The 14233-nt window shown below is 39.1% G+C and overlaps 1 annotated feature.

Moving 5' to 3' along the window:
- Positions 11879–12395: an enhancer, noted in NCBI's record as "NANOG-H3K27ac-H3K4me1 hESC enhancer chr7:49158882-49159398 (GRCh37/hg19 assembly coordinates)". NCBI's record gives its function as "activates a minimal SCP1, AML or CMV promoter by ChIP-STARR-seq in naive H9 embryonic stem cells {active_cell/tissue: H9 hESC(naive)}" and the evidence as "EXISTENCE:reporter gene assay evidence [ECO:0000049][PMID:30033119]".

Below are 14233 nucleotides of genomic sequence, written 5' to 3' on the forward strand. Positions count from 1 at the left end.
TAAACGTTTGGAAAATTTTCAGTCTGACAATGCAATAGAAAATAGAAACCCATTTTCTGAGAAGAAATTCAAGCTGGCTACAGAAATTTGCATAAGTAATGAGGAGCCAAATGTTAATCACCAAGATTATGGGGAAAATGTCTCCAGGACATGTCAGAAGTCTTCACAGCAGCACCTCCCATCACAGGCCTGGAGGCCTAGGAGGGAAAAATGGTTTTATGGACCAGGCCCTAGTCCTCCCTGCTGTGTGCAGCCTAGGGACTTGGTGCCTTGCATCCCAGTCACTCCAGCCACAGCTAAATGGGGCCAAGGTGCAGCTCAGGCTGTTGCTTCAGAGGGTGCAAGCCCCAAGCTTTGGCAGCTTCCACTTGATGTTGAGCCTGCAGGTGCACAGAAGTCAAGAATTGAGGTTTGAGAACCTTCACCTAGATTTCAGAGGATGTACAGAAACATCTGGATGCCCAGGCAGAAGTTTGTTGCAGGGGTGGTGGCCTCATGGAGAACCTCTGCTAGGCCAGTGTGAAAGGGAAATGTGGGGTGGGAGTCCCCACATGGAGTCCCTACTGGGGCACTGTCTAGTGGAGCTGTGAGAAGGAGGCCACCGTCCTCCAGTCCCCGGAATGGTAAATCCATCAGCAGCTTGCACCATGTGCCTGGAAAAACCACAAGCACTCAATGCCAGCCTGTGAAAGCAGCCAGGAGGAGGATTATACCCTGAAAAGCCACAGGGGTGAAGCTGCCCAAGGCCATGGGAGTCTACCTCTTTCATCAGTGTGACCTGGATGTGAGACATGGAGTAAAAGGAGATCTTTTTGGAGCTTTAAGATTTGACTGCCCCACTGGATTTCAGAATTGAATGTGGCCTTTGGCCCCTTTGTTTTGGCCAATTTCTCCCATTTGGAATAGGAATATTTATCTAATTTCTGTACCCCCATTGCACCTAGGAAGTAACTAACTTGCTCTTGGTTTTACAGGCTCAGAGGCAAAAGGGACTTGCCTTGTCTCAGATGAGACTTTGGACTGCAGGCTTTTGAGTTAATGGTGAAATGAGTTAAGACTTTGGGGAAGTGTTGGGAAGGCATGATTGTTTTAAAATGTAAAAACATGAGATTTGGGAGGCTCCAGGGTTGGAATGACATGGTTTGGTTGTGTCCCTACCCAAATCTCATCTTGAATTGTAGCTCCCACAATTCCCATGGGAGGGACCTGCTGGGAGATAATTGAATAATGGGGGTTGTTTCCCTCATACTGTTCTCCTGGTAGTGATTAAGTCTCATGAGATATGATGATTTTAAAGGGAAAACCCCTTTCACTTTGCTCTCATTTTCTCTCCTGTCTACTGCCATGTAAGACATGCCTTTCACCTTGCACCATGATTGTGAGGCCTCCCCAGCCACATGGAAATGTGAGTCTGTGAAACCTCTTTCTCTTTACAAATTACCCAGTCTCAGATATGTCTTTATTAGCAGCTCCAAAAAGGACTAACACAGAAGGTAATACACAGAGCCAGCACCTTCCAAAGTTCACTTGTGTCCTTTGTTTTTGTTGTATTGTTGTTATTGTTGTTGTTTGTGGTAAGAACACTTCTTAACATGAGATTCCCTCTCTTAACAAATGTTGAAGTGTGCATCATTACATTGTAAACTATAGGCACTATGTTATACAGCAGAATAAGCTGTCTTTTAAAATCTTTCCTTTCAAAACTGAAGATCACTCAAGCCAATGTTTCTCATACTGGGATGTGAATATCCAAAAGGGAAAAGAACGGTACATTTATTTTTAGTTACTCTTTTCCTTTCAAAGATTTTTAAGAAAAAATTAACTAGATTACTTAAAATATACTGTAACAAATGGATATATCACACAATGAGATATAAAGCTGCAATAAATTTTAGACATTCTGCTACAGGTTTACATATGGCTCCCTTATGTGTGGAAGGGGTCATGGAGGGGGTACTTCCAATTTCTTGGGCCAGTAGGAGAGCTCTCAAAACTGTCAAATATGAGGCCACCTTGTCACTAAACTGCTGCATTGTTTAAACTTCTACATTCAAATAAGCCAAATTCTTCCATCACTTCTTTGAAGCTAGGAGAAATATTGGCAGCTTATTTGTCATGTTATCATCGATTGAACTTTGAAGACAGTTGTTAAATCTTTCATATTATTTTCTATTTTTCAAAAAATCCATTACTTAATTTTTGCTTATAAAATTTACTTCCATTTCATTTGTTTTTCCCTTAAAGAAATTATCTCTCGAATGACATAAAGATTATTTGTATATTGTACTGAGAAAGGCAGAAGAACATGTTATTAATTGCTGTGGTTAAACCAATAGGCTTGTACAAAACCTTTCAACTAAAAATATATGTATGAAACCTAGGAGACAGTATTCATTTTCACTGTCTTAATCTTTCCTCAAAGATAGATCCCATTTATCTGTGTTTAGATAATTTTATTTCTACTGAACACTTTACTCTTATAATTTTATTTTTCTCATTATTGTTGCTTTATAGTATTACAAATATAAGTATACTACGGTTTACTTATTCTACTGTTGATGTTTGTTTTCTCCCACAATTTTGGCCATTTCCAGTTAAACTCTTCTGTGTTTCTTCTGATGAACAAATCTACACATACATGCCTAGCAAGGGAATGGCTAGGACATAGAATATGAGCATGTTCAGCAAAAGTAGATGCTGCCATTTAACCGAACTGTTTGTACTTTCAACTGCACTGTGAGAGTCTTCCCACCAGTATCCTCCAACAATAACGTGATCTTCTCCTCATGCTTCTACTTGCATTTTCCTGAGGATTAATGAAGTTGAGAAGCTTTGTGTTTATTAGGAAATTTTATATCCACTTAGTGAAGTGCTGATACAAAACACCTGTCTATTTTTAAATAGAGTTAAATTATTTTTACTTACCGATTTTGAGGACCTCTTTATATATTTTGGAGATGTTTCCTTTGTAAGGATATAAAGAGAGTCAACTTTCATTCATAGATTCTGTATTGGCACATTCATTAACTCACCAAAATTTATCAGTAACTACAAAATCAACACTTACGGCATCTTTGTGATCATTCACATACATGTGCATGGTGGTAAAAAATGTGAGTGGAGTTTTCTTACACACATGTTATCAGCTGAGCTTGAAAAATGTGATGCGCTGTCTTCCTGTTTCAGCTTCATACAGAGATGAGCAGAAGGTGGAGAGGGTATAGGGCAGTGCAGTGCAAGGAACTCTGGATGTCGGGTCAGTTGGACAGGATGTGAATTGCAATTCTGACAGGTGTTAGCATGGGACCTCAAACAAGTCACTTAAACATGCTGAACATCATTTTCTTTTTTCGTGAAATAAAGAAAATAGCATCTACCAGGACTTAGGATTATAATGCATGTGAGATATTATATATATATATATATAAAATATGAATTTATGAACAATAGAGTAATTGTTCAATATTCACTAACTGCAACATTTTTATAAAACATAACTACTTTGATTAATGAGAATTGAGCCTGATATAGAAATAATCTCATAATCTGTGCTTGGCTTTTTACTCTTGTAATGGTGTCCTTGATTAATAGAATTTTATAGTAGTTCAGAGAAATATATAATTTTTTACCCTTTATGGTCAGTGGTTTTTGTGAACTGTTTATAAAAATCTTTGCCTATATCAAGGCATAAATATATTGTTCTATGTATTATTATATGTTTTATTTTTATCTTCTAAATGTGGATATACAGTCACCAAAAACTGATTTTTATATATGGTGTGAGATAGAGGTTAAGAGTCATTTTCCTTTGCTGGATGGATATCTAATTAACCCAGCTTAACTTATTGAAAGGACCATCTTTTCTTGATGACACTTCAGTATTATTACTGCCATTAATCAGGTGACTATATGTGTTTGGGCCTGTTTCTGGATTCTATTGTGTTTACTGGTCAATTTGTCAATTCACACACTAATACTAGACTTTCTTACTAACTACAAATTCAAAATAAGATTTAATATCTGGTTTTATGAGTCCTGCAGTTTTGTTCTCTTTCTTCATTTCCTATGCCTTCCCCTCCTCTCCTCCTGCTTCTCCTCTTCTTCCTTCTTATTCTATTTTTCCTGTACAGAATTGCTCTAGACGAACTATTTTTTAATTTGGATTTTCATAAAAAACAGATTTTTAAAAATAATTTTAGAGTTAAAAGAATACCTCCTGCATATCTACTGCAATAACATTGTATCTATATTTTAAGAAGAGTTGATATCTGTATGATATGAAATCTACCAAACCTTGAATGTGATATATCCTCCATTTATTTATTTATTTTTAATTTTCTTATATAATGTTTTGTATTTTTCCATGTGTGGGAATTTTGTATATTTCTTTACATGTATCCCTGGGTATTTGATTCTTTTTAAACTATGTTAAATAATGTTTTATACTCTCCATTTTTTATTTGTTGCAATATATATAATTGATTTATTTTGCCATGTCAGCATTTATTGTACTGAATTAATTTTGCTTTTTTTTTTAAGATGAGGTCTGTTGCCCAGGCTGCAGTGCAGTGGTATGATCTCTGCTTGCTGCAGCCCCCACCTCCCAGGTTCAAGCGATCTTCCCACCTCAGCCTCCCCTGTAGCTGGGAGGCTAATAGTCACCAAGTCTGGCTAATTTTTGTATTTTTGGTAGAAAAGGGATTTTACCATGTAGCCCAGTCTGTTCTTAAACTCCTGAGCTCATCGATCCACCCGCCTCGGTGGCCTCCCAAATAGCGGGCATTACAGGCGTGAACCACAGCACCTGGCCTAAATTTACACATGTATTTTTTTATGTGCTTCTTTGGATTTTCTTTGTGTATAAGCTTGTCACCTGTGAATAATAATTATTTTATTTCTTCTTTTCTAATCTGCATGCCTCTTCCTTCTTTCCCTCACCTCATGGCACTGGCTGGGCCGTCCAGTGCACTGTTGAATACAAGCGTGAGAGGGAGCCTCCCTGTGTTGTCCCTGGTAGTCACGGGGATAGCTGCCACCCTGTCAACACTGAGTGTGAGGGAGCATGACTGTGGGGCCAGACATCAGATTAAAGAAAGAACCTTCTATTTTAGTTCACTGAGAATTTTTATACTGAACTATTGGATTCCATCAAATAATTTTCTGCATCTAAACTATTACCAGAAGATATATCAGTTTTCTTTTGTTGCTCTTGGTGGGTTTTATAATGTGGAATTATAATATGCATTTCACAATATTTCTGAGATGTATTTTTTTTTTACTGTGACTTTCTGCTGAAGTTTTTAATCTCCCTATGCTGTGCAATTCCAGAATTATTTTTAAAATCATGTGCCCAAGTTCTCCGGTCGACACCTGTATGCCTACAACTCTTCTGAATTGTGTCTCCTTGCAGTACGTGCAATAACTTCCAGCCTGTCAGCCGCCTGCCTGTTGCTCAGATAGCAAATGCTCCCAGGGTGAGAGTAGCCACAGAAGCCATTTTATCTTGCTGAGTTCTGCTCTTCAGAGAATTAGCTGTTCGGTTCCAATTCTCTCCATTATTCTCCATTGACTTCAATCCAATGGTTAATTTATTTTAGCAGACATTTTGTATTGCATCTGTGACAGTTCTGTATACAGCCAACTATATTTCAAAAGGGAGAAGTAAGTTATCTCTATTTAATTTATTTCAGACACCCTATTCAACTATCAAATATTTTAGAGAAAAATCTGCATAATTTTAGAGCAATTTTATAGCAATTACATTAATAATCTCATCACAAATATTTTAAAATTATTTGCATCTTTCTTTCTTGATTATTGAAGTACATATTATACTTAAACATAGAGGAAATTAGAGATTACACGGCAGTGTACATCTTCACTTGATATTATATTATGCATATTTTTCTACTGTCCAATCTATAATATATCCATTACTCTTTCCTTGCCCCAGCCCTGTATAATGAATACAGGTATATATCTTTTTACCTTCCCTATGATTATAAATTGTAAAACAGTGTGCTTCCAGAAATGGTTGATCGCTTGCTTTGTTTCAACCTTCTATTGACAACAAATATAAACTGAATCAGATATATTTAAAATAAGTACTTTCGAAAGAATTACAGAACTATCACACCGGCAAAGATTTTCAGGGCAACAGTTTGAGAGAGAAGGGAAGCTCAGATTTGTGACGCCAACTTGGCACCACCATTTTCCTAGTAAAACATTTGATGACTTATTAGTGAGGAAGAAAGGTAGACAGGATACAGGAGACAATCCAGTTGGGGGGAAACAGAGAATGGGGAAATTATTTGGAAGAAAATTTTATAATAGGTATCAAAATTTGAAATATGCAAACACTTTGAATAAACTTTAAACAAATAATTTCATATTTATAAATCCAAACCCATAGTTCAGAAGTATGAAGAAGGGAAAAAAAAAGGTATGAATAAAGCTGGCCACAAATATGTGCAATATATACACGATGTGTACAAATGTGTACGATATCTTAGAGCTTTTTACAAGAGAAAGAAACTTTCATGAAACTATTATGATCTAAGGGAAAATGTACTGTCATAATGGTATTTTATCTTGATGCATGTATTAATATTTGCTATTTAGGAAAAAATACTAGATATAGTAGATATAAAACAATAATGTGCACATGTACCTCTGTATGTGTACTTGGATGAGAAAGACATTGTACCCACCAGCTGTAAAATGCAGCATGCCACCTGTATGGATGGGGAGAGTGTAGTCAGGGTGGTTAGGGGTAAGGAAGGGCCTTAACTTTTTTATCCTATGCATTTTGGTGTTGCTCAAACCTTTTATAATGAGACATTCATGAACTCCTTGAGCATTAAAGTATATATCTGCAAATAAAATATTGTTCTTGGGAATGGTGTATTTTTCCCTTTTATTTTTTAAATAAGTCTGTGTTCCCATTATTCCCAGCGGAGAAAACTCACTGAGGTCTCAGTAACAGAAAATTATATGTATATTTTGTTTAGCAAGTTTATTTTCATTGTGTAGTCCTGTAGATCATTTAACTAATTGTATTCCCCTCTTATGGTCTATCATCTAAGCCACTTAGATCCATCTTTATGGTCTAGATTTCAGGTGTAAAGTGATTACTAAAACAAATCAGAGAGGCTGGGCGCAGTGGCTCATGCCTGTAATCCCAGCACTTTGGGAGGCCGAGATGGGAGGATCACAAAGTCAGGAGATCGAGACCATCCTGGCTAACACAGTGAAACCCCGTTTCTACTAGAAATACAAAAAATTAGCCAGGTGTGGTGGCAGGTGCCTATAATCCCAGCTACTTGGAAGGCTGAAGCAGGAGAATGGAGTGAACGCAGGAGGCGGAGCTTGCAGTGAGCCAAGATTGCACCACTGCACTCCAGCCTGGGCAACAGATTGAGACACCATCTCAAAAACAAAACAAAACAAAACAAAACAAAACGAAAACAGATCAGACAGAAAAAAATTAGAAATTGTAAGGTAATAAGATATTACATATTATGATCATGGATCATTTGAATACTTAGAAGGCTCTTTAGTTTAATTAGATCCCATTTGTCAATTTTGGCTTTTGTTGCCATTGCTTTTGGTGTTTTACACATGAAGTCCTTGCCCATGCCTATGTCCTGAATGGTAATGCCTAGGTTTTCTTCTAGGGTTTTTATGGTTTTAGGTCTAATGTTTAAGTCTTTAATCCATCTTGAATTAATTTTTGTATAAAGTGTAAGGAAGGGATCCAGTTTCAGCTTTCTACATATGGCTAGGCAGTTTTCCCAGCACCATTTATTAAATAGGGAGTCCTTTCCCCATTGCTTGTTTTTGTCAGGTTTGTCAAAGATCAGATAGTTGTAGATATGCGGCATTATTTCTGAGGGCTCTGTTCTGTTCCATTGATCTATATCTCTGTTTTGGTACCAGTACCATGCTGTTTTGGTTACTGTAGCCTTGTAGTATAGTTTGAAGTCAGGTAGTGTGATGCCTCCAGCTTTGTTCTTTTGGCTTAGGATTGACTTGGCGATGTGGGCTCTTTTTTGGTGCCATATGAACTTTAAAGTAGTTTTTTCCAATTCTGTGAAGAAAGTCATTGGTAGCTTGATGGGGATGGCATTGAACTTATAAATTACCTTGGGCAGTATGGCCATTTTCACGATACTGATTCTTCCTACCCATGAGCATGGAATGTTCTTCCATTTGTTTGTATCCTCTTTTATTTCATTGAGCAGTGGTTTGTAGTTCTCCTTGAAGAGGTCCTTCACATCCCTTGTAAGTTGGATTCCTAGGTATTTTATTGTTTTTGAAGCAATTGTGAATGGGAGTTCACTCATGATTTGGCTCTCTGTTTGTCTGTTGTTGGTGTATAAGAATGCTTGTGATTTTTGTACACTGATTTTGTATCCTGAGACTTTGCTGAAGTTGCTTATCAGCTTAAGGAGATTTTGGGCTGAGACAATGGGGTTTTCTAGATATACAATCATGTCATCTGCAAACAGGGACAATTTGACTTCCTCTTTTCCTAATTGAATACCCTTTATTTCCTTCTCCTGCCTAATTGCCCTGGCCAGAACTTCCAACTCTATGTTGAATAGGAGTGGTGAGAGAGGGCATCCCTGTCTTGTGCCAGTTTTCAAAGGGAATGCTTCCAGTTTTTGCCCATTCAGTATGATATTGGCTGTGGGTTTGTCATAGATAGCTCTTATTATTTTGAGATACGTCCCATCAATACCTAATTTATTGAGCGTTTTTAGCGTGAATGGTTGTTGAATTTTGTCAAAGCCCTTTTCCTCATCTATTGAGATAATCATGTGGTTTTTGTCTTTGGTTCTGTTTATATGCTGGATTACATTTATTGATTTACATATATTGAACCAGACTTGCATCCCAGGGATGAAGCCCACTTGATCATGGTGGATAAGCTTTTTGATGTGCTGCTGGATTCGGTTTGCCAGTATTTTACTGAGGATTTTTGCATCAATGTTCATCAAGGATATTGGTCTAAAATTCTCTTTTTTAGTTGTGTCTCTGCCCGGCTTTGGTATCAGGATGATGCCGGCCTCATAAAATGAGTTAGGGAGGATTCCCTCTTTTTCTATTGATTGGAATAGTTTCAGAAGGAATGGTACCAGTTCCTCCTTGTACCTCTGGCAGAATTCGGCTGTGAATCCATCTGGTCCTGGACTCTTTTTGGTTGGTAAGCTATTGATTATTGCCTCAATTTCAGAGCCTGTTATTGGTCTATTCAGAGATTCAACTTCTTCCTGGTTTAGTCTTGGGAGGATGTATGTGTCGAGGAATTTATCCATTTCTTCTAGATTTTCTAGTTTATTTGCATAGAGGTGTTTGTAATATTCTCTGATGGTAGTTTGTATTTCTGTGGGATCAGTGGTGATATCCCCTTTATCATTTTTTATTGCGTCTGTTTGATTCTTCTCTCTTTTCTTCTTTATTAGTCTTGCTAGCGGTCTATCAATTTTGTTGATCCTTTGAAAAAACCAGCTCCTGGATTCATTAATTTTTTGAAGGGTTTTTTGTGTCTCTATTTCCTTCAGTTCTGCTCTGATTTTAGTTATTTCTTGCCTTCTGCTAGCTTTTGAATGTGTTTGCTCTTGCTTTTCTAGTTCTTTTAATTGTGATGTTAGGGTGTCAATTTTGGATCTTTCCTGCTTTCTCTTGTGGGCATTTAGTGCTATAAATTTCCCTCTCCACACTGCTTTGAATGTGTCCCAGAGATTCTGGTATGTTGTGTCTTTGTTTTCATTGGTTTCAAAGAACATCTTTATTTCTGCCTTCATTTTGTTATGTACCCAGTAGTCATTCAGGAGCAGGTTGTTCAGTTTCCATGTGGTTGAGTGGTTTTGAGTGAGTTTCTTAATCCTGAGTTCTAGTTTGATTGCACTGTGGCCTGAGAGACAGTTTGTTATCATTTCTGTTCTTTCACATTTGCTGAGGAGAGCTTTACTTCCAACTCTGTGGTCAATTTTGGAATAGGTGTGGTGTGGTGCTGAAAAAAATGTATATTCTGTTGATTTGGGGTAGAGAGTTCTGTAGGTGTCTATTAGGTCTGCTTGGTGCAGAGCTGAGTTCAATTCCTGGGTATCCTTGTTAACTTTCTGTCTCATTGATCTGTCTAATGTTGACAGTGGGGTGTTAAAGTCTCCCATTATTATTGTGTGGGAGTCTAAGTCTCTTTGTAGGTCACTCAGGACTTGCTTTATGAATCTGGGTGCTCCTGTATTGGGTGCATATATATTTAGGATAGTTAGCTCTTCTTGTTGAGTTGATCCCTTTACCATTATGTAATGGCCTTCTTTAGCTTCTGCACAGCAAAAAAAACTACCATCAGAGTGAACAGGCAACCTACAAAATGGGAGAAAATTTTCGCAACCTACTCATCTGACAAAGGGCTCATATCTGGAATCTACAATGAACTCAAACAAATTTACAAGAAAAAAACAAACAACCCCATGAAAAAGTGGGCGAAGGACGTGAACAGACACTTCTCAAAAGAAGACATTTATCCAGCCAAAAAACACATGAAAAAATGCTCACCGTCACTGGCCATCAGAGAAATGCAAATCAAAATCACAATGAGATACCATCTCACACCAGTTAGAATGGCAATCATTAAAAAGTCAGGAAACAACAGGTGCTGGAGAGGATGTAGAGAAACAGGAACACTTTTACACTGTTGGTTGGACTGTAAACTAGTTCAACCATTGTGGAAGTCAGTGTTGCGATTCCTCAGGGATCCAGAACTAGAAATACCATTTGACCCAGCCATCCCATTACTGGGTATATACCCAAAGGACTATAAATCATGCTGCTATAAAGACACGTGCACACGTATGTTTATTGCGGCACTATTCACAATAGCAAAGACTTGGAACCAACCCAAATGTCCAACAATGATAGACTGGATTAAGAACATGTGGCACATATACACCATGGAATACTATGCAGCCATAAAAAATGATGAGTTCATGTCCTTTGTAGGAACATAGATGAAATTGGAAATCACCATTCTCAGTAAACTATCGCAAGAACAAAAAACCAAACACCGCATATTCTCACTCATAGGTGGGAATTGAACAATGAGAACACATGGACACAGGAAGGGGAACATCACACTCTGGGGACTGTTGTGGGGTGGGGGGAGGGGGGAGGGATAGCTTTAGGAGTTATACCTAATGGTAAATGACGAGTTAATGGGTGCAGCTCACCAGCATGGCACATGTATACGTATGTAACTAACCTGCACATTGTGCACATGTACCCTAAAACTTAAGTATAATAATAATAAAAAGAAAAAAAGAAAGAAAGCTGACTGTTTTTGGCATGAATAGAATGAATTGACTAATGAAATTGAAGAAAATGTTGACAGTAAGGGAAGCGCCAGTAAGATCCCTGAAGACATAGATATGGTCAAGACAAAGTTGTGGTACTATCCCGGTGTTTTGCATCCCAGAAGGATATGGAACACTTGGAAGGTGTTTGAGTAGAGACTTTGTCTGAGACTCTGGAGGGAGGAGAAGCAAGGCACTGTGCCTCTACTCACTGTCCCCTTCCCTAATGGTTCAGACCATTGTGACTGCACCATGTGAAGCAGGGCCACTCCCTGTGTCCCACTGGAGAGCTCCATGAACGAAAACATTCTCTAACAGGACCTCTGAGCCAAGAACGTGCAGGGGGCTGGGCAGGTCACATAAAGAGAAAAGCGTGACTGAGAAAATTACCTGCCAAACTAACCAAACTTACTTTTTTATGTTTTCATTTACTTTTTACTCTTTTATGATGTCAACATTTAATAACATGAAAGCAAATATTTTTTCTATTTATAATGTAGTCTTTTTTCAAATTTATTCACGTATTTATTTTAAATTGTCAGATATAATTATATGTATCTATTGAGTACAGCATGATATTTTGAAGTATGTAGTTCAAGAGATCTGTCATACAGCATAGTGATTGTAGTTAATAATGATATATTTTATTCTTGAAAAATGTTAACAGACTGGATCTTAAATGTTCTCCCTATAAAAATGATAACTATCTGAGGTAAGGTATATTTTAATTAACTAATTTTGTACAATCTAGGTAACAGAGACCCAGTGAAACTGCAAGTAAGTAAGCACACAGCTGGAGTGTGGCTGAGAAAGCAAGCCTGCTCTCACCAGGCCAGGGAGAGTGGCCGGCAAGGTTGCTCTGGGGTCCCTGAGGTGGTGGCCGATATGACTGTGCCCGAGTCACCCAGGGAAAGGGTTCTGAGCTGTGGGAGAGATGTCGCAAACAGGTCCCCATGCTGGAACACTTGGACTTCAGGCCCAAGAGGATGCACAGCTTCTGTGCTGGCTGTTTTCCTTGCGGAAATGCCTGCAAAGGATTCATGAGCATGCTGCAGGGAGCCTTCCATGAGTTAAGATTTCTCTTCCTTCCCTGACCAGAGTTTGACCACATGGCTCAAAACAACAGGAAATTTGCAAATTTGATGCAGACAGGGACTTGAGTGCTTGAGCTGTGGGACTCACCCTGTGGTGTGCTGCCCTGAGGCCATGTGTGCATCAGCAGCAGCATGAGGGAATACAGACACAGGGAAAAGCCCATCAGATTGGGAGAATTCCTACATGCACACTGGTGTCATTTGCACCACTAACATTTGGCTGGTTTGCTTTGCAGCTGTAGGTAACTTAGGCCCCTTCCCCCACCCTGGAGAGCCACTGGCATGGAGTACTCAGCCCCAATGCCACATGGTGGCATTAGCCCCTTGAGGGTGTGCCCCTAGGGAAGAGTTCAAAATGCATCCCACCCCTATGTGTTCCTGATATGGTTTGGTTTTGTGTCCCTGCCCAAATCTCCTGTCGAATTAGAAGAGGGGGCTGGTGGGACATGATTGGATCATGGGGGCTGCTTTCCCCCTTGCTGTGCTCATGATAGTGAGTCAGTTCTCACATGACCTTATGGTGTAAACGTTGCAGTGTGGCACTTTCCCCTTTGCTCTCTCTCTCTCCTGCCACCATGTGAAGAAAGTCCTTGCTTCCCCTTTGCCTTCCACCATGACGGTAAGTTTCCTCGGGCCTCCCAGTGATGTTTCCTGTTCAGCCTGTGGAACTGTAATTCAATTAAAACTCTTTTCTTCATAAATTACCCAGTCTCAGTTAGTTCTTTAGAGCAATCTGAAAACAGACTAACACAGTTCCTCAGCAACATGCAGAGTCTCTGTCACAGAGATCAGACCGTGGCTTCTCTTCTCCAACTCCCATACCCTCTGCCTCAAGAAATCCATACGTATCGGTCCATAAAGAATCATCCCACCCCCATGAACCCTCAAAAACTGGGTGGTAATGAAGCTGCCCCATTCCACAAAGTGGGTGTGTGCTGTCTCACTTCAGGCCAAATGACAGTTGGGGCTGCCCCTAGTCTACTTCCACAGCCCTCCAACCTGGAGGTCTGGCATTTCAGGGAAGTAGTTCAGACAACAGATTGAAAATGTTTCACCCCTGGAAGCTCCAGTCTGTTTTACTGGAAAGACTTCCCTGAGAACAACATGCAGGAGCTGGCAGGAGGTGAAGCTTTGGTGCTGTTGGGAAAGAAACCACCTTGGCATCAATAGCCACTGAAAGAGCCATAGAGCCTAATGATTGATTGTGGGTTCTAAAGTCCAACAGCCTGCGTTTTAATCTTGGCTCTTTTAATTAATAGTTTGTGACCTTGTTCAACGTTCTTATTGTCTATATGCCTTAGTTTCTTCACTTGTCAGTGGGTTTAATAATAATATCTATCTCATAGAGTTGCAGTGAGGATTCATTGAGTTAATACATGTACAACCTTGTCAATATCTGGTACACGTGGAGCATATAAAGCATATGAACTGTTATCAGAGGTGCTCAGGGATGTGTCCTGGTTTCTGTGTGCCAGCCTGCTTGGTACCCAGCTGCAGCCAGAAAACTGAAGTAGAACTGAAGACAGCTGATAATCTCACCAACTTGGAGACAGGGCTAGACTGGGCATCCAGTCTGGGCATCCAAAATTTCTTGTTTTGTCATAGAGCAGAGCCTTCAATAATTGACTGAGAAAGATATTTGCATCTCAGTTTATAGAGGGACAGCCAGTTACAATATGATGATTGTAAACCTATGAATATGGCATGTGATGCAATCAAGAAAAGAATAAATGTAAACATCTCATCTAATTATTTCCTGGGAGGAAAATAACAAGAATA

Source organism: Homo sapiens, chromosome 7 (genome assembly GCF_000001405.40).
Source record: "Homo sapiens chromosome 7, GRCh38.p14 Primary Assembly".
Classification (NCBI taxonomy): domain Eukaryota; kingdom Metazoa; phylum Chordata; class Mammalia; order Primates; family Hominidae; genus Homo; species Homo sapiens.